Source organism: Homo sapiens, chromosome 7 (genome assembly GCF_000001405.40).
Source record: "Homo sapiens chromosome 7, GRCh38.p14 Primary Assembly".
In the NCBI taxonomy this organism is placed as follows: domain Eukaryota; kingdom Metazoa; phylum Chordata; class Mammalia; order Primates; family Hominidae; genus Homo; species Homo sapiens.
The window spans coordinates 6264163-6284606 of NC_000007.14; the positions used below are offsets into that span (position 1 = coordinate 6264163).

The following is a 20444-nucleotide window of genomic DNA, read 5'->3' on the forward strand; positions in this document are numbered from 1 at the left end:
CTTGAATCCAGGAAGCGGAGGTTGCAGTGAGCCAAGATGGCTCCATTGCACTCCAGCCTGGGCAACAAGGGCAAAACTCCGTCTCAAAAGAAAAAAAAACAAAAAGGAGACCTGTACATTGCTTACAGAGGCACACGCACATCTGTTGAAGTATGAAATATATACCAGGCTGGGCACGGTGGCTCATGCCTGCAATCCAAGCACTTTGGGAGGCCAAAGCGGGTGGATCATTTGCGGTCAGGAGTTCGAGAGCAGCCTAGCCAACAAGGTGAGACACTGTCTCTAGTAAAATTACAAAAATTAGCTGGGTGTGGTGGCGCCTGCCTGTAATCCCAGCTACTCGGAAGGCTGAGGCAGAAGAATCGCTTGCACCCAGGAGATGGAGATTGCAGTGAGCTGCGATCACACCACTGCACTCCAGCCTGGGTGACAGAGTGAGACTCCATCTCAAAAAACTAACAAAAACACCATACACCAGAGGGCCCCATATCGAATTCATAATGGCTGCCTCTAAGAAACATTGAAAGCAAAGAGCAAAAGGACCAGGGATTGCTAGACACAAGTGACTTCAACTTTATTCAGTATTTATTAACAAATATTTACTGAAAGGCTACTATGTACCAAGCACTGTTCTAGATCTTGGAGATATAACTGGATAAAAGCAGAAAATATTCTTACTTTCACAGAACTCACATTGTAAGAGAAAAGAAACAAATATGTAATAGGTAAGGCGTGACATGTGCTAAGGGAGAAAAATAGAGCTGACAGTAACAATGAATGTGATTTTAGATAGGTTGGTCAAGGAAGACTTCTGTGATAAGGAAACATTTGAGCACAAACTTGAATGAAGCAAGGATACACCACATGCAGGTATCTAAGAGGAAACCACTACAGGGGCAGCAAGTGCACAGGCACTGAGGCAGGAGTGTGCTTGGCAAGGAGACCAATGAGACAGAGCAGAGTCAGGGAGGAAACGGGAGAGGAGCAACAGACAATGTCAAAGAGATAGCAGGGGACTAGAGTAGTAGTCAAGGGCAGTCCCCAAGGTCAGAATGTTTTTTACATATTGAAAAGGTTATGAAAAAAAAAAAGACTTGTGACAGAGATCATATGTGGCCCACAAAGCCTATGAGGTTTACTATCCGGCCCTTTTATGAAAAAAAAGCTTGGCTGGGCGTGGTGGCTCATGCCTGTAATCCCAGCACTTTGGGAGGCCAAGGCAGGCAGATCACGAGGTCAGGAGTTCAAGACCAGCCTGGCCAATATGGTGAAACCCGTATCTATTAAAAAAAAAAAATTACAAAAAATTAGCCGGGCATGGTGGCACGCGCCTGTAGTCCCAGCTACTCAGGAGGCTGAGGCAGGAGAATCACTTGAGCCCAGGAAGCGGATGTTGCAGTGAGCCGAGATCGCTCCACTGCACTCCAGCCCAGGTGACAGAGCAAGACTCCATTTCAAAAAAAAAAAAAAAAAGAAGAAGAAGAACTTGCAGCCCCTAAACTACAGCGTGTGGGCCATGGCCATGGTAAGGTGGTCTGAGAATAGGATTCTCAATAAACCGAGGAAAGAGCAAACTTTCAGAGAGGAGTGACATGACCTGCGTGTCAAAGGGAATCGCCCTGGCTGCAGTGTGAACAAGGATGACAATGGGAGAACCATGAGAAGGCTTAAGGCAAAAGAAGTGAAAGATGGCACCAAAATTTTGGCCTGAGCAACTGGAAGAACACCACAATATACTGAGATGGAGAGACTTACCAGTAATGCTTTATTTTTTAAAAAACGGACCTAAAAAATGCAACAGAACATTGACAGCTATTATGTCAATTCTGAGTAGTGGGAACAAGAGTGCTGGTTTCATTATTCTTTGTACTTTTCTGTATGTTTTATACAGATGTGTTTTATATATATCCTTCCCTCCATATTTCCCACTACCACCCTAACCCACCAAGCCCCGTAACTCTCACCTGAACCACTGCAACACCTCCCTTCTCCCAAGTCCTCCCTTCTCCTCCAAACCACTCTCCACTCAGGAGTCAAGAATATGCTTCTTTAAAAAGCAGGGGGCAGTGGTTGAGAATACGGATTCTGAAATGGAAGGCTTGGGTTCCAATCACAGCTCCATCACCTGCTAGCTGTGAAATTTCAGACCAATTACTTAGCTTCCCTATGCCTCCATTTTCCAATCTGAAAATAGCAATATGATGAAGAGTCAATAAATTAAGACGCAGAAAGTACACAGGACATACAGCATCAAGTAAATATTAGCTAAAATTATTGAAATGTAAATCAAATGAGATTTCCCCGTTTAAAAATCTTTCAGCGGCTTCATGTACTTAGAATAAAATCTGCATTCCTTAGCTACTGAAAGCCTGACATGGCCCCAGTCTATCTCTCCCGCTTCACTGTCTGTTCAAGCCACACAAAGCTGCTTTTAATTCTCTAGAATACTCAGCTCTTGCCAGCTCCATGCCTTCCCTTCTGTCTGGTCCACTACCCCTATAGATTGCACCTCGAAGGGCATTTCCTCAGAGGCCTTCCCTGGCCACGGGCTTTCCCTACACCTCTCCCATCCCACACTTTCTCTTCCTCAACCTCTTGTTGATTTCCTTTAACACATCTAGCATAATACATGATTATTTTATATATAGCTGTTTACCTCTTTTGTCTGTCTCTCCATCTAAACATGAGCTCCATGAACGTGGGAAATTTATCTGCCGTATTCACCACTGTTAGGCACTGATACAGTTTGGATATATGCCCCGCCCAAATCTCATGTTGAACTGTAATCCCCAATGCTGGAGGCAGGACTTGGAGGGGAGGCGACAGGATCATGGAGGCAGATCCCTCATGGCTCAGTGCTGCCCTTGCAATAGTGAGTGAGGACTCCTGAGATCTGGTCGTTTAAGGGCGTGGCATCTCTTCCCTCTTGCTCCTGCTCTAGCCATGTGATGTGCCTGATCCTGCTTCACCTTCCATTATGAGTAAAAAGCTCCCTGAGGCCTCCCCAGGAGCCGAGCAGATGCTGGCACCATGCCTGTACAGCTACAGCCTGCACAACCATGAGTCCATGAAACCTCTTTCCTTTATATATAACCCAGGCTCAGGTACTTCTTTATAGCAATGCAAAAACGGCATGACACAGGCACTAATAGCTCTTGTGCCATGCATAGAACCTGGTATTTGGTAGAGACACCATCAACATTTGAGTAAATGACTACAAAAGAATATACTCTAAGCATAATCTAAAAGCATCCACTTTTTAAACTCTCAAAAATACAGTAGTTAACTTACTACAGAATGAAAAATAGGTAACATTTTATAACCTTACATTGCATATCACATTATCTTTTTGTTGCGGTCTTCCCAGAATATTTTGTTTGTTTGTTTTGAGACCGAGTCTCACTCTGTCGCCAGGCAGTGGCGCTATCTCGGCTCATTGCAACCTCTGCCTCCAGGGTTCAAGCAATTCTCCTGCCTCAGCCTCTCGAGCAGCTGGGACTACAGGTGCGCATCACTATGCCCGGCTAATTTTTGTATTTTTAGTAGAGACGGGGTTTCACCACATTGGCCAGACTGGTCTCGAACTCCTGACCTCATGATCTACCCGCCTTGGCCTCCCAAAGTGCTGGGATTACAGGCGTGAGCCATTGCGCCCAGCTGTATTTTTTAATCTATAAAAATTCCCTCAAAAAAGGTGTAAAATGGGTATTTTCTTACCATCATACTATTTTTCTATGAAACTGCTTTCCAATTTTAGAAAAAGTGAAGACAGATTATTCAAACTTTTTTGAATTTCAAAAAATAAAAAGGCGCATAGTGAAAAGTTTCCTTCCCACCTATATTCCCCATCCACTCAGTTCCCATCATCTTCCCCAATCAGGTAACCATTGTTATTGGTTCCTCCTTTCACCTTCCAGGGAATCTGCATGCATCAGCCATTACCTCCTCTTTCAAAACACAAGAATGGGAGCACGCAATGCACACTTTCCTACACTTTGCTCTTGTAATTTTGTTTTGTTTTTTTGAGACAGGGTCTCACTCTGTTGCCCAGACTGGAATGCAGTGGCGCAATCTCACTCACCGCAACCTGCACCTCCCAGGCTCAAGCGATTCTCCTGCCTCAGCCTCCCGCGTAGCTGAGATTACAGGCACGCACCACCACTCCCGGCTAATTTTTGTATTTTTTTAGTAGAAACGGAGTTTCACCATGCTGCCCAGGCTGGTCTTGAATTCCTGACCTCAAATGATCCACCCGCCTCGGCCTCCCAAAGTGCTAGGATTATAGGTGAGAGCCGCCGCGCCCGGCCTGCTCTTGTAACTTAAGATATTTTGGAGATCTCTCCATGTCAACTAAGAAAAGAGCTTCCTCGTTCCTTTCTACAACTTTACAACCTCATTAACCATCTGGGCATGGATTTATCTGATAAGTCTCTTGCTTGCTGATGGACACTCAAGGCAATAAATAATCTTGTACCTATGTTATCTCACACGTGTACAAATATATCTGCAGGTTAAATTCCTAGAACTGGATTGCTGGGTCAAAGGATTTACACGCCTGTAATTTTTAAAGCTACTGCCTAAAGCACCTGTATCTATCAGGGTCCACCCAGAGAAACAGAGACATCCAGAGAAACCATCCCTTTAAGAATCTGATATAGAGGGAATTTAATATAAGGAATTAGTGACAGGGGTGATGGAAAAACTGAAAAGCCAAACAGGAAATGATAATACAAAGATTATCAAGAGCAAGCTGCTGTTACCACTTCTCAAATAGAGGGTAAAAGGGAGGAGGTATTTCCAAGACTCAAAGGCTAGGACCAAGGGGCAGGAGCTGGAGCCAAAAGGAGACAAGGTACCTGCCAGAGACACTCCCTGAGGCAGGCCTAAGGGAAATAACCTGTTTTTGTCCTTCTTCCTGCCATTCCTCCTGCCAGTGGCTCCCAGTGGCCAATCCCAGCCGGAAGCCAGCTGACCAAGGGCCTGGGAAATGTTGCCTGCAGGGGTGAGTCCCTGCAGGGAAAGGGCAAGAAACGGATCTGAGCCAACAGGACATGGGCTGACCCTGCCTGTGGCTACTTTACACTCTTACCCGTAAATGTTTGAAACGACCTTGCCGTTCAAATATTTCAAACTTGAAACAGACTTTGTATACTTGGGGGTTATCACCTGTCTGAAGGTGAAAGGTGGGAGCTCAATCTAGTCTTAATTTGCATGTATTTTATTATGAACAAGGCTCAGCATCTCTTCACCTGAAGCACAGACACCTACATTGATCAGGGAGTGAAGGGGTCAGAGAGAAGAATGCCAATTATAGTTAATTCACCTCATCTGCCAGGGATGGTCCATTCAGGACCATCAATCAGACAAATGCCCAAACAGGACACGAAGACAATCCCAATGAGCCAAACTAGCCAGCTACCCTCCAATTAGCTCAAGAACTGTTCTCGAAAAACTGAAAGGCAACAAAGTCCCATAGGAATTAAAAACGACTTAACTACACTCTGCACACACTGTAAGGAACAATGTGTTCTTGTAATCTTGTGCCCCCCACTCGCTCCTCTTGTAACTGCCTTCCAGCCATTCATGCCACCATCCTCTCTCTCCTTATCTTGCATTGAAAGAACAATACAGTGGACAAAAAGCTAAATTAACTTATAAAAATAGCAAGTAGGAATCAATTTTTCAAGTCTTTTAACCTGACCATTAACAAAAAAAAGACCTTTTCAATTATCTTTGGCTTCTACCATAACTACTGTTTGAATAGATTATTTACCCTATCTTTTAAACAAGCTTTAACTGACTCCCCCAGATACAGTTCAACATTATGTACTACACTCTAAAAATATACCAAAAAATGTTATGCTTTATAATCTGCTGGCAGCTGAAACGGTTTTCTTTAAAAGAGCTCAACTTTATTTTTTTAAACATGAATTTTAAAGCATTTAAAAATCTAAAAGGTATTAACTGTAAAGAGGTATGTTAACTTCAAAACTTACAACAGCCAAGAGTTAAATGTAAGCACATAAAGTTTATACAATAATTACAATATCACTCATATTTCAAAACTTTGCTTTTCACCTGTTTCAAAAATAAATATCCTAATATTGCCAAAAATATTTTTAAGTGTCTGTCACAAAGCAAGGGAGAAAGCTAGTCATAAACTAAATCAATAAAGGTTAAAAGTTATTTTCCAGCACCTAACATGCTGGCTAGCATTTTGATGGGCAATCAATAAATAAATCTTCATTGTTGAATGTTCCAGTGAGATGAATTAAATGATACACTTAAAACATTCACGTCTTTGATGGTTTTTTTCCAATCTGAAATACACACTTATTCCAGAAACCTGGAAAATATAAAAAGAAAATAAAATAATCCATAATGTCACCAATGTTTATGTTGTTTAAACCATGATGTATAAAACTGCTTATTTTAATGGTTGTAAAATACTTCAATAAACTTCCCATAATTTACCTCACCATGCCCCTGCTGTTGGCGTTGCTGTTTCCAATTTTTTGCTATTTTAAACAGCATAATACACATCTTTATACGTGAGGGGTTTATTTCAAGGTTGCTTCCCTGTGATATATTCCCAGAAGAGATACTAACAACCCAAGGACAATTTTAAGACTTTTGATACTTCATATCATCCTTTGTTATAGTACTCAAGACCTGCAAATTGCTGGAGCACATTAAAGCCTCCTCTTTTCCTCTTTATTCCTGCTTTAATCTTCAAGTCTACATTTCTTTACTCACAGAGCCCAAAGCACCTTACAAACAAAACTGCCAAGCCAGCTAGCTGCCTTGACGCTAATGTCCAACGTCTGCATATTACAGTTGTCTTTCTTTTCTAACAAGGGAAAACAGCTATGCCCAAATTGTGACAGGCAGGAAACACGACATCCACCGGGAACCCATTCCTTAGGATCTCATGGCTCCAGACAGCCTGACTGTAGGAGGGTTCGCAACTGGGCGCCTTCGTTCCACAGCGCTCCCATCAACACACCCACTCGGTGCCACAGTGCTACCCCTAGCTTCAACTATAAGAACTGAACTCGCCAAATGCCATGACGGGTGCCAACTTCCCACCATCCTGGCTGCATCGCGTCTTTCAGCAAAAAAACATCTCCCTCTGAGCAGCACTTGAATTCTGGAAGGCACCTTGATGATGAACCACTTCATCCTGAAGCATTCAATACTGCTGATTCTTACAGGCAGCTGCACCGGCAGCCTGTAATTAAGATTTCTCTAAACTGCTCCCTTATTACATGGGGTTCTGATGATTCTGATGATTTCTCTGTCAGCTCAAAGGAGATCTTCAGGAAAAAAAAAAAAAGTCTAGAGAACCTCAACTTCGGCTGTTCCTGTAAAAACACGGGCATTAACCCTTTGCTTTCCAAAGCGAACACCCACTCCATACAGAGGCACGTTCCTCTGTTTTTAAAATCTAATTCCCAGCATGACCCAGCAGTCATTTGTATTCCACTAAATAATTTCCAACAAACACGATTCCTCCAGCAAGAGGAAACCGAACGTCAGACACAGACCACCTGGGCCACGACGCGCATCGACCCGACCCACTCGGGAGCACACCTGGCTCCGGGCACACCTGGCTCTCCGGTCTTGCCTCTGTGCTGGGTGCAGCTCGTGTCTCCCACCCTCGGCTCCACGGAGTTTTTTGCTCAATCTGTCGCGTCTGCCGTTTCCTAAAACGTCTACCCTGAACTGAACTCCAGCTGGCCCCCTCCCCGTTCGAGCAAATCCAGCGACCGTTTCTGACCCAAAGCCAAGCAGACTGTCACGCTTTCCAACCGTTTCCCCTGCCCTCCCGTCCTGTACACTCGAGGAGCCTCCAGTGCAAAACTTTCCCCTCCCGGTTTCCCACCGGCTCAGCCGCTTCCGCCCACCTGAGCTGAAAGGGGGCGTCCGAAACGCCGGGCTCCGGAGGGCATGAACGCCCTTGGCGACAAGATGCGGGGAAGGTCGCCCCGCAAGGTCCCCCGCCCCAGAGGAGCGACACCCAAACCCCGGCCCGAGACTCCGGGGCGACCCCAGCCCGCGGCAGCCCCGGCCTGGTACCCAGACCCTCGCCAGCGCCGAACGGCGACCCCGGCCCGCCCCCTCCCTCGGCCCCCGGAGACCCAGCCTCGGCCCTGGCCCGGCGTGCCTCAGGCCTCCAGCGGACGCCGCTGCCGCTGCCCCCGACCCCGTCTCCTCCGGCGAACCCCGGCCCAGCGCCGCGCCCTCGACCCCCAGCCCCCGGCCCCCGACCCCAGGCCGCCGGCGAGCCCACCACACCTCCGACACTCACCGCCACCACCCTCGCCGCCGCCGTCTTCATCCATCTTGAGGCCACTCCCGCAGCCGGCGAGCCGGGGGCCGGCAGCAGAGGGGCCGCGGGCTGGGGACGCCGCCGGAGGGAGCGCGCAGGCGACCGGGCGGCTCCTCAGCGCGCGGCCCGGGTCGCGGCCGGGCCTCCTCCCGCCGGGCGGGGCCTCGCTGGTCGGCGTGCCGTCACGTGACCCATGCCCCGCCTCTGCCCGCGGTGGGCGGGGCGTGAGGCCGCGCAGCCCCGCCCTCGGGAACCGGCCGGGCCGGCGGCGTCTGCGCTGGGGAAGGCTGTAGACCTGGCCCCTGAAGTGCAGGCCGATCCGGTGTGCGTGGAGCGAAGCCTCCTCGCCCTCAGCATTCCAGTAGCCTGCGGACGGGCGTGGGGCCCCGGACACTGGAACGCCACACTCTGCAAAACCCAGTGGCCAGGGGTGCAACTTGCACGTGCACTCGGGGTAAAAGATCAAGAAACGAATGCATTCAGAAGTCAGGCCTGGCCAGGCTCGGTGGCTCACACCTGTATTCCAATACTTTGAGAGGCTGAGGTGGGAGGATCGCTGGAGAACAAAAGTTGGAGACCAGCCCCGATAACATAGCGACCCAGGCATGGTGGCATGTGCCTGTAGTTCCAGCTACTGGGGAGGCTGAGGTGGGAGGTCACGTCACTTGAGCCCAGTAGGTAGAGGCTGCAGTGAGTTATTATTGCACCACTGCACTCCAGTCTGGGTGACAGAGTGAGACCCTGTCTCAAAAAAAAAAAGAACAAGGTCAGGCCTTCTCCTTCCTAAGACATGCATGTCAGAAGAATTCCAGCCTTTCAGCTGTCTTATATTTAATGGAGCCTCTCCTCCTTCCCTCCTGGTGAGTGCATTTTTAAATTAACAAAATGCAGGGCTTGTAAATGAATGTGGTCATGAGGTTGGAACGGAATCCCGATTCAACACACCTGGGGCTCAGCTCTCAAAGGGCATTGTAGGGGTTGGCCAATCTGGCGGCTGATGCCCTTGGAGTTTAGCGCCAGTCTTCCTTGGAGAGCTGCCAGCTGTCCTGGATTTATGATGCAGGAGGAGCTCTGAATTCAGTTTCCCTTGGGCACAGCCAGGGTCCTCAGCACAGGCCTCCTGGGCAGAAGGCCTCCCCTGGCCCCTGCTCCACATCGATGGATCTCCTCTCTCACTCCCCATATCTCTCTTCCAGTAACTCCTGAAGCATTGCTTGTGGCCCCTCCCAAGCCTTTCTGTTGGAACTCAATCGCATTAAAGAAAAGCAAACATTGTAATGGAGGAGATAGCTCATCTCTAATATAATTTTCCAGCAACTGTTTTATATTTACAAGCTGTCCATTGAACCAAAGGATCCTTCCGTTGTCATCTATCAAAGTGGACAATTTCACCTTTTGGTTCAAGGTTGCGGGATGATTTCAAAGTTCAATCTTCTAATAACCTCAAGAATTGAACACCAAGCATTCTCATGCAACCAAACCCACGAGGGACACTTTTTTTTTGAGACAGGGTCTCGCTCTATTGCCCAGTCTGGCATGCAGTGTCTCGAGTGATCCTCACACTTCAGCCTCCCAAATAGCTGGGACCATAGGTACATGCCACCATGCATCGGTTAATTTTTGTATTCTTTTTTAGAGACGAGATCTTGCCATGTTTGCCCATGCTTGTCTCAAACTTCTGGACTCAAGCGATCCTCCCACCTTGACCTCCCGAAGTGCTGGGATTACAGGCATGAGCCACCACACCCAGCCAAGGGACACTGCTGCGTGCAAAGGTGTTTGACAGCTTGAGTGACAAAGAGGCACCAGAAAAGGGGTCTGGGAGTCAGGAGATGTAGGGTTCAACTCCCAACCCCCAGACTCGGCTTCCTGATCTTGTTCCCGTCAGCTTTGTCATCTTGGAGATAAGAGCATCGTTACTGAGAAAAAATGACAGCATTACTTTGAACTTGATAATGAGATATGCAGAGCTTTGAACTCAAAGATACTATCAATTATAAATGCTTTTTCATGTCAATCTTAATTCTTTAGGTGTCTTAGAATGTGATCCACAGGTGCTTTTCTCAGAGTTTTAATCTGAAAGTGGCTTCTCTGATCTCCATCTAATCTAATTTTCATCAGACTAAAGCACAGCCCAGTTATATAAGGAGGATATTACATTATCCCCATGGTTTAGCCTGGGCTTGCATTTCAACAAATTCTGCAAAAATGTTGGGGGGGATAAAGGCTTTGGGTGTCATTTCTGTGCTTTAATGGGGAAATTGGAAGACTTCAAAATCTTCACAACTCGAAGGAATTAATATCTAATGGAAAAATTACATATTTTCAAAAAGAAGTGCTTTCCAGCATCTCTCAAATCCCACCAAGATAGCAATGATCTAATCTGCTTACATACGTATTATCTCTACATATAGGAACTTTAAGTATTTTAGTTACTCACTAAGATAGGCACTCACTTTATGCATAGTTTATGAGTGGTTTGCTCAGATGTTGAAAGTTTTATAAGTGAATTTGTGAGGAAAATAATTCATGCAGCAGGCATTGCTGCAGAATAACAAGTATTAAACCCAATTATTAAATCATTGCAATCATTTGGTCAGATGATAAATATTTAGGCACCTCCTGTATTCCAGACACTGTTCTAGGTGCTGGGAAAATGATGAAAAAGGTAAATTCAGTCCCCAGGTTTTGTTTTTGTTTTTGTTTTTGTTTTTGTTTTTGTTTTTTGACACAGAGTCTCACTCTGTCGCCCAGGCTGGAGTGTAGTGGCGCTATCTTGGCTCACTGCAAGCTCTGCCTCCCGGGTTCTAGCCATTCTCCTGCCTCAGCCTCCCGAGTAGCTAGGACTACAGGCGCCCGCCACCATGCCCAGATAATTTTTTGTATTTTTAGTAGAGACGGGGTTTCACCATATTAGCCAGGATGGTCTCGATCTCCTGACCTCGTGATCCACCCATCTCAGCCTCCCAAAGTGCTGGGATTATAGGCGTAAACCACCGCACCCGGCCCAGTCCCCAGGCTTATGGAACGGATGGCCTAGAAGGAATACAGCCATTAAGCAAATAATTATGTAATTGTAATTTTGATATCTGACTCTGTAGACTTTCTCATAGTATTTGCTGTTTCGTGTGAATTGGCTTTGCAGCCTTAAAACTGCTTTAGGGGCGGGGCGCAGTGGCTCATACCTGTAATCCCAGCACTTTGGGAGGCTGAGGCGGGCAGATCATGAGGTCAAGAGTTCAAGACCAGCCTGGCCAACATGATGAAACCCCATCTCTACCAAAAATATAAAAAATTAGCCGGGCATGGCCAGGCACGATGGCTCATGCCTATAATCCTAGCAGTTTGGGAGGCCGAGGCAGGCAGATCACTTGAGGTCAGGAGTTCGAGATCAGCCTGGCCAACATGGTGAAACCCTGTCTCTACTAAACTACAAAAATTAGCCAGGCACGGTGGCGGGCGCCTGTAACCCCAGCTATTCAGGAAGCTGAGGCAGGAAAATCACTTGAACCCAGGAGGCAGAGGTTGCAGTGAGCCGAGATCACGCCACTGCACTCCAGCATGGGCGACAGGAGCGAGACTCCGTCTCAAAAAAAAAAAAAAAAAATTGTAATTTTGACATCTGACTCTGTAGACTTTCTCATAGTATTTGCTATTTCATGTGAATTGGCTTTGCAGACTTAAAACTGCTTCAGGGCTGGGCGGTGGCTCATGCCTGTAATCCCAGCACTTTCAGATGCCAAGGCAGGAGGATCGCTTGCGCCCAGGAGTTCAGGACCAGCCTGGGCAACATAGCGAACCATGTCTGTACAAAAAAAATAAAATAAAAAATAAATCACACCTGTAATCCCAGCACTTTGGGAGGACAAAACAGGTGGATCCTTTGAGCTCAGGAGTTCAAGATCAGCCTGGGCAACACAGCAAAACCCTATCTCTACAAAAAGTACAAAGTATAATTAGCTGGGCATGGTGACACAAGCCTGTAGTCCCAGCTACTGGGGAGGCTGAGGTAGGAGGATCGCTTGAGTCTGGACGGCAGAGGTTGCAGTGAGTCGAGATCGCACCACTGCACTCCACTCTGGGTGACAGAGCCAGACCCTGTCTCAAAATGTATATATATATATTAGCCGGGTGCAGTGGTGCACACTTGTAGTCCCAGCTATTCAGGAGACTAAGCCCAGAGGTTGAGGCTACAGTGAGCCGGGATCGCAACACCGCACTTCAACGTGGGCAACAGAGTGAGACCCTATCTCAAAACAAAACAAAAAACAAAAAACTCCTTCAGGACAGAGACTGTAGTCTGTATTTATTCTGTCTCTGCTGTCTGCTGCAGGGTGTGGCCATGTCAAAAAAGCGAAAACAACAATATTTGTTACCACTGCTGGATGAACAGGGCCATCAAAAATGGGAAACATTTTGAAAACATGTTGAAACCCATTTATCAGCCTTTTGACCACTGCAGAAATAGTTTAAGAAATCAAGAATGTGAACATTCCGGAAAGGTCAGAGGACTTCTTTGTACATTCATCCATCCTCCAAGTGAAAGTCTGCGAAATCGGACAGAAGTGTCCTCTCCCAGCGCTGAGGGTCACAAGAGCCAAAACCCTGCCAAGGACGGTTTCTTGATGCTTGGCCATAAAGAGGCTTCCCGAGCTACCCAGGCTAGAGCTACTCCAGACCCTGCCTGGAGCAGCTCTCATCTCCCCTAATAACAGTTAAGAAATGCAGGCACAAATGTGACTGTCAGCAGATGGGGACTCAAGTAATCTGTTACATCGGGGATCTGTCACAGTCCGGAGAAGACACGCACTGTGGCCAGCTCACTGTCAGCTCACAGGTAGGAAAGAAAAGGAATGCTTTCTGCAACCTAATTTCATTAAGGAAAGAAAACATCTCATTGGAATGGAGATGATCTCGTGCAAATTAACATACTCCGTTCTGCTCAGGCAAATGACAGGGGTCCAAGAGTCAAGTCACATCCTTATTAAATTTTCAAAAGCCCAGACATTCCAGCCTTCACAATACTCTGTCTCTCGTTCCAGCCGTTCAATGCAGTCCACCTTGGCCTTCTTCTTCTATCCCCAGAATAATCCACACAATTGACATCAGTTCCCTGGCCTCACATTACCAAGGGCAGCTTAATTCCTTTTAGATTGATTAGTGACTTGCATTTTTGTAAGAACAAAGGTAGTCAGATTTCTCTGTGGTAAACTTGGAACAAATAATTTGACCACAGTTTGAGCTATTTGTCATTGGCAGAAAAACATTATATCCACTCAAAGCAGCCTCAATACTAAGAGTTATTATATACAAGGTGTCTTCTATACTACTAAAAACGGTTATTTTTATCTACTTCTTATTTTTTTGAGATAGGGTCTCGCTCTGTTGCCCAGGCTGGAGTGCAGTGGTGCAATCACAGCTCACTGCAGCCTCAAACTCCTGGCCTCAAACAACCCTCCCACCTCAGCCTCCTGGAAAACTGGGACCACAGGCGAGCACCACCACACCCAGCTAATTTTTTATTTATTTATTTATTTTTGTAGATTTTCACTGTGTTGCCCAGGTTGGTCCCGAACTCCTGGGCTCAAGCGATCCTCCTACCTCGGCCTCCCAAAGTGCTGGGATTGCAGGCATGAGCCACTGAGCCTGGCCTGGTTCTTCATTTCTATAGTATGTCCCTGACCTACTAAAAACAACAAAAAAAATTAATTTAAAAAATTAAGTTGGTCAGAGTCTGCAGCGTGCAGCTTAAAATCATCAAGAGAATCCATCCTGGGGTGCAGAGTGTACTATTGGACAGGCAATTAAAAAGAAAAAGGGTGAAAATGACAACCAACAAGATGTAGCACATCTGTGTCTGCGATCATGGTCCTTGGAATAGAAAATGTGCTCCTAGGCCGGGCGCAGTGGCTCCCGCCTGTAATCCCAGCACTTCGGGAGGCCGAGGCGGGCAGATCACGAGATCAGGAGTTCAGATGAGCTTGACCCAACATAGTGAAACCCCACCTCTACTAAAAATACGAAAATTAGCTGGGTGTGGTGATGCGCACCTGTAATCCCAGCTGCTCAGGAGGCTGAGGCAGGAGAATCGCTTGAACCCGAGAGGCGGAGGTTGCAGTGAGCTGAGATCATGTCACTGCACTCCAGCCTGGGAGACAGAGTGAGACTCCGTCTCAAAAAAGAAAGTGTGCTCCTACCAGCAATCAAGCGTCCCAACACCAGTCACAGGGCATTGTGATCTGGAGGGCCTAACAGCACCCACACCAATGTGATACTGCAATTTGGCTTGTAGGACAGCAAAAGCCATCCATGAGTTCTGGTCATTACACCGAGTAATGACCCGTAATTGTCACTGGGTCCCAGCCATGATATATCACAAGGTACTACCTAGGCTCTAAAATCAGATGGCCCAGGCACTTTTGTTTCTTGGCTGTGTGACCTTGGGCAAGTTGCTTCACCTCTCTGTGCCCTAGTTCCTGTGAAATTTCTGTGAAATGGAACCAACAACAACCCCGGCCCATACACTTACTGTGAGAACCGGATGCTGTCATATACAGTGTGTAGCACACAATAAGCACTCAATAAATACTCGTCATTGTTATCCACAGAAGTAGGAATTTTTCCCGCCTTCTGATTCACAAGCCAGAAGGAATCTGTCTGCCAAGCTGGGAGGCAAAGCTGAGTTTCAGTGAGGGCTCCCTCCTTCCACCGCCACCTTCTCGTTGCTGTCTCTCCCTCCAAGTTTGCCTTCTGGAACTCACCCCTGCCATGGTCCGTGGTCCCTGCTCAGGTGTCTCCACTGCATACCTCATCAGTCTGCCAAATAACTGGGTTCTTAGGGCTACAGACACGTGTGTGCATTTTCATAAGGGAATCTGGGGACTCCAAGCCTCATTTTTTGATGTTAGTTTCTTCATTCAGCAACCTGCTTCTGGACAGGCATGGTGGTGCATGTCTGTAATCCCAGCACTTTGAGAGGTTGAGGATTGCTCGAGGCTAGGAGGTCAAGGTCAGGCTGGGTAACAGAGTGAGACCTTGTTGCTACAAACAAAACAAAACCTGTTTCTTAGCCTCTCCACCACATAGGCCCTGGGGATTCAACAGAAGACAGCAGTCAATGACTTTTTAATTTGTATTTATTTATTTATTTTTGAAACAGGGTGTCAGGCCCAAGCTGGAGGGCAATAGTGTAATCATGGCTCACTGCAGCCTCAGCCTCCTCGGCTCAAGCAATCCTCCCACCTCAGCCTCCTGAGGAGCTGAGAGGCACACACCACCACGCCTGGCTAATTTTCAAAAATTGTTTGTAGACACAAGGTCTCAGTATGTTGCCCAGAGTGAGCTCAAACTTCTGAGCTGAGGCGATCCTCCCATACCAGCTTCCTGAAGTTCTAGGATGACAGGCATGAGCCACCGTGCCCAGGCAGTCAATGACCTTCAGTGAAGGACATGTCAGAACTCAGCACCTGGAATCACTATGAGGGCCCCGGAGACATTTACGACACCCTTATAGGGGCCAACTCTCCTTTACTTAGAAAAATTTAAAAAGAGACCAGCCTGGGCAACATAGTGAGACCCTGTCTCTACAAAAGACTTAAAAATTAGCTAGGTGTGGTGTCATGCACTTCCAGTCCCGGCTACTTGGGAGACTGGGGTGGGAGGATTGGTTGAGTCCAGGAGTTTGAGCCTGCAGTGAGCTGTGATCACGCCACTACTGCACTCCAGCCTGGGCAACAGAGTGAGACCCCGCCTAAAAAAAAAAAATAGGTCTATATAGAAAAAATGTCTACACAGAAAATTCCAGCTGGGTGTGGTGCCTCATGCTGTAATCCCAGCACACTGGGGGGCCGAGGCGGGAGGATCACTTGAGCTCAGTTTGAAGACCAGCCTGGTCAACATGGTGAAACCTTGTCTCTACTAAAAATACAAAAATTAACTGGGCGTGGTGGCGGGCACCTGTAATCCCAGTTACTGGGGAGGCTGAGGCAGGAGAATCACATGAACCCGGGAGGCAGAGGTTGCAGTGAGCCAAGATCATGCCACTGCTCTCTAGCCTGGGCAACAGAGTGAGACCGTCTCAAAAAAAAAAAAAAGAAAAGAAAGAAAAGAAAATTCCAAACAATCTACAAAAACCTCCTAGAACTCATAAGTGAATTCAGCAAGGTTACAGGATATGAGATTAATATATATAAATCAATTGTATTTCTATTAATATGTACTAGCAATGAAAATGTGGACTCTAAAATTTGAAACAAAATGCAATGTACAATTTCTTGGAAAAAAAAAAAACACACACGTGAAGACTGGACCCAGTGGCTCACGCCTGTAATCCCAGCACTTTGGGAGGCCAAGGTAGGCGAATCACCTGAGGTTGGGAGTTCAAGACCAGCCTGACCAACATGGAGAAACCCTGTCTCTATTAAAAATACAAAATTAGCCGGGAGTGGTGGCACATGCCTGTAGTCCCAGCTACTCGGGAGGCTGAGGCAGGAGAATCGCTTGAACCTGAGAGGCAGAGGTTGCGGTGAGCCGAGATCGCACCATTGCACTCCAGCCTTTGCAACAAGAACGAAACTCCGTCTCAAAAAATAAATAAATAAATAAAACACGTGAGTGTAAATTTAACAAAACATGTACAGGATTTGTATGTTGAAAATGACAAAACACTGAAATAGAAGAACTCAAACTAGATCCAAATAAACAGGGAGGCATGTTGTGTTCGTGGATTAGAATACTCAACATAGTAAAGATACCAATTCTCCCCAAATTGAGATACAGGTTTAAAGCAATTCCTATCAAAATTCCAGCAAGATGTTTAGTAAATATAGCCAAGATTATTCTAAAACTTACATAGAAAGACAAAGGAACTAAAATAGCTCAAACAGGCTGGGCACAGTGGCTCACGCCTGTAATTCCAGCACTTTGGGAGGCCAAGGTGGGTGGATCACTTGAGGTCAGGAGTTCGAGACTAGCCTGGCCAACATGGTGAAACCCTGTCTCTACTAAAAGTATAAAAATCAGCTGGGCGTGGTGGCGTATGCCTGTAGTCCCAGCTACTCTGGTGGCTGAGGTAGGAGAATCGCTTGAACCCAGGAGGTGGAGGTTGCAGTGAGCCAAGATTGTGCCACCGCACTCCTGCCTGGGCAACAGATTGAGACTTTGTCTCAAAAATAAATAAATAAATAAAATAAAATAGCTCAAACAATTTGGAAAAAGAAAAAGTAGGAGAAATCACTGTACCCAATTTCAAGACTTACTACGTAGCTCTAGTAATGAAGACCATGTGGTATTGGCTGAAAGACAGATACACAGGTGAATGGAATACAGTAGGCAGGAGTAACCTCACACAAGTACAGCCACCTGATTTTTTTTTGAGACACGATCTGGCTGTGTCACCCAGGATGGAATGCAATGGCATGATCTTGGCTCACTGCAACCTCCACCTCCCAGGCTCAAGCCATCCTCCCACCTCAGCCTCCCAAGTAGCTGGGACTATAGGCGCACACCACCATGCCTGGATAATTTTTGTATTTTTTGTGGAGACAGGGTCTCGCTATGTTGCCCACACTGGTCTTGAACTCCTGGGCTCATGCAATCTGCCCACCTCAGCCTTCCAAAGTGCTGGGATTACAGGCGTGTGCTAGGATTACAGACAAACGATTTTTTGACAACAGACTAACAGCCATTCAATGGAGGAAGGATAGTCTTTCAACAAATGGTGCTGGAGCAATTGGATATTTATAGGCCAAAAAAAAGTATAGCAATGTAAGAATAGCCAATAAAATTGAAAAAAAAAAGAAACCTGACAAAAATTAACTTATACAAATATTAACTCAAAATGAATCATAGGGTTGGGTGCAGTGGTTCACTCCTGTAATCCCAGCACTTTGGCAGGCCGAGGTGGGTGGATCACCTGAGGTCAGGAGTTCGAGACCAGCCTGACCAATATGGTGAAACCCCCATCTCTACTAAAAATACAAAAATTAGCCAGGCATGGCGGTGGGTGCCTGTAATCCCAGCTACTCAGGAGGCTGAGACAGGAGAATTGCTTGAACCTGGGAGGTGGAGATTGCAGTGAGCCGAGATCGCACCACTGCACTCCAGCCTGGGTGACAGAGCGAGACTCCATCTCAAAAAAAAAAAAAAAAGAATCATAGATTTAAATGCCAAGTGTGAAAACCATGCTTTTAGAAGGCAACAGGAGAAAATCTTTGGGACTTACAGCTTAGTGAAAAGTTTTTAGATATGACACTTTCTTTCTTTCTTTTTTTTTTTTTTTGAGACAGAGTCTCACTCTCTCGCCCAGGCTGGAGTGCAGTGGTGTGATCTTGGCTCACTGCAAGCTCCGCCTCCTAGGTTCATGCCATTCTCCTGCCTCACCCTCCCAAGTAGCTGGGACTACAGACATCTGCCACCACGCCCAGCTATTTTTTTTTTTTTTGTATGTTTAGTAGAGACGGGGTTTCACCGTGTTAGCCAGGATGCTCTCAGTCTCCTGACCTCGTGATCCGCCCACCTCGGCCTCCCAAAGTGCTGGGATTACAGGCATGAGCCACCGCACCCGGCCAGACATGACACTTTGAAAAGCACAATCCAGCCGGGCATGGTGGCTCACGCCTGTAATCCCAACAGTTCAGGAGGCCAAGGCAGGCAGATTGCTTGAGCTTAGGGGTTTGAGACCAGCCTGGGCAACATGAAGAAACCCTGTCTCTACCAAAAACACAAAAATTAGCCAGTCATGGTGGTGCACATGCCTGTAGTTCCAGCTACTCAGGAGGCTAAGTTGGGAGGATGGCTTGAGCCTGGGAGGCAGAGGTTGCAGCGAGTCGAGATCACACCACTGCACTCCAGCCTGGGAAAAAGAGCCAGAGTCTGTCTCAACAACAACAACAAAAACACATGATCCATAAAAGAAAAAACATCAATAAACTGAACTTCATCAAAATTTAAAACTTATACTCTGTGAAGGACCCAATTAAAAGGATAAAAAAAAAAGCCACAAAGGGAGAAAATAATTGCAAAAATATTTCCAATATTTGCAGGGAGAAATGTGTTGCATATCTGAAAGCTTACTCATTCCTAGAATGTATAAAGAACTCTAAAACTTAGCAGGAAAAAAAAGAATCCAGGGTTGGGCGTGGTGGCTCATGCCTGTAATTCCAGCAATTTGGGAGGCCGAGGCGGGCAGATCACTTGAGGTCAGGAGCTTGAGACAAGCCTGGCCAACATGGTGAAACCCCATCTGTACTAAAAATACAAAACATTAGCCTGGCATGGTGGTGGGCGCCTGTGATCCCAGCTACTCAGGAGGCTGAGGCAGGAGAATCTCTGGAACCTGGGAGGCGGAGATTGCAGTGAGCCCTCAAGGTTGCGCCACTGCACTCCAGCCTGGGAGACAGAACAAGATTCTGTCTCAAAAAAAAAAAAAGTTATGTTCGGCTGGGCATGGTGGGTCATGCCTGTAGTCCCAGCGCTTTAGGAGGCTGGGGTGAGCGGATCCTTTGAGCCCAGGAGTTTGAGACCAGCCTTGGTAACACAGCAAGACCCCATTTCTACAAAGAATACAAAAATTAGCTGGACGTGGTGGCATGAGCCTGCAGTTCCAGCTACTCGGGAGGCTAAGGCAGTAGGATCACTTGAGCCCAGGAGGTGGAGGCCGCAGTGAGCCGTGATCCTGCCACTGCACTGCAGCCTAGGCAACGGAGTGATTTCATTGTCTCAAAACAAACAATCAAAAAAGTTATGTCCCAGCAAAACCACAGACATGAATACTCACAGCAATTTATTCGTAATAACCAAAAACAGGAAACAACCAAGGTGTCCTACAATAAGTAAAAAATTAAACTGGTACGTCCATACCATGGAATACTACTCAACAATAAAAATATGAACAAACAATATGAGCATCAGTTTGGACGCATCTCAAGGGCATTACATTGAGCGATAAAAGCCAATCTCAAAAGATCACATACTATAGGAATTCATTTATGTAACATTTTCAAAATGACAACATTGTAAAGATGGAAAACAGATTAGTGATTGACAAGGGTTGGTATGTTCGTGGGGGAGGAGAGTGGTGTGACTGCAGCAGGGAAGCAGGAGGCTCTCTGGC

The 20444-nt window shown here is 46.6% G+C and overlaps 1 protein-coding gene across 3 annotated transcripts in view, besides 7 other annotated features; it reads right to left on the bottom strand.

The window, feature by feature from the left end:
- Positions 1-8462, bottom strand: part of CYTH3 (cytohesin 3) — a 110846-nt gene extending 102384 nt beyond the window's left edge. For all 3 annotated transcript variants that reach the window (NM_004227.4, NM_001367580.1, NM_001367581.1), the window contains exon 1: positions 8312-8462. In NM_004227.4, coding sequence (NP_004218.1) covers positions 8312-8345 — 34 coding nt within the window. In that variant the 5' untranslated portion in view covers positions 8346-8462. The remainder of the gene's footprint in view (positions 1-8311) is intronic.
- Positions 7077-7799: an enhancer, noted in NCBI's record as "H3K27ac-H3K4me1 hESC enhancer chr7:6310870-6311592 (GRCh37/hg19 assembly coordinates)". NCBI's record gives its function as "activates a minimal SCP1, AML or CMV promoter by ChIP-STARR-seq in naive H9 embryonic stem cells {active_cell/tissue: H9 hESC(naive)}" and the evidence as "EXISTENCE:reporter gene assay evidence [ECO:0000049][PMID:30033119]".
- Positions 7800-8521: an enhancer, noted in NCBI's record as "H3K27ac-H3K4me1 hESC enhancer chr7:6311593-6312314 (GRCh37/hg19 assembly coordinates)". NCBI's record gives its function as "activates a minimal SCP1, AML or CMV promoter by ChIP-STARR-seq in naive H9 embryonic stem cells {active_cell/tissue: H9 hESC(naive)}" and the evidence as "EXISTENCE:reporter gene assay evidence [ECO:0000049][PMID:30033119]".
- Positions 7800-8689: a biological region, named in NCBI's record as "H3K27ac-H3K4me1 hESC enhancer GRCh37_chr7:6311593-6312314".
- Positions 7840-8009: a silencer, noted in NCBI's record as "silent region_17938". NCBI's record gives its function as "represses an Ori minimal core promoter by ATAC-STARR-seq in GM12878 lymphoblastoid cells {active_cell/tissue: GM12878}" and the evidence as "EXISTENCE:reporter gene assay evidence [ECO:0000049][PMID:35858748]".
- Positions 8330-8689: a silencer, noted in NCBI's record as "silent region_17939". NCBI's record gives its function as "represses an Ori minimal core promoter by ATAC-STARR-seq in GM12878 lymphoblastoid cells {active_cell/tissue: GM12878}" and the evidence as "EXISTENCE:reporter gene assay evidence [ECO:0000049][PMID:35858748]".
- Positions 18578-19460: an enhancer, noted in NCBI's record as "H3K27ac hESC enhancer chr7:6322371-6323253 (GRCh37/hg19 assembly coordinates)". NCBI's record gives its function as "activates a minimal SCP1, AML or CMV promoter by ChIP-STARR-seq in naive H9 embryonic stem cells {active_cell/tissue: H9 hESC(naive)}" and the evidence as "EXISTENCE:reporter gene assay evidence [ECO:0000049][PMID:30033119]".
- Positions 19461-20342: an enhancer, noted in NCBI's record as "H3K27ac hESC enhancer chr7:6323254-6324135 (GRCh37/hg19 assembly coordinates)". NCBI's record gives its function as "activates a minimal SCP1, AML or CMV promoter by ChIP-STARR-seq in naive H9 embryonic stem cells {active_cell/tissue: H9 hESC(naive)}" and the evidence as "EXISTENCE:reporter gene assay evidence [ECO:0000049][PMID:30033119]".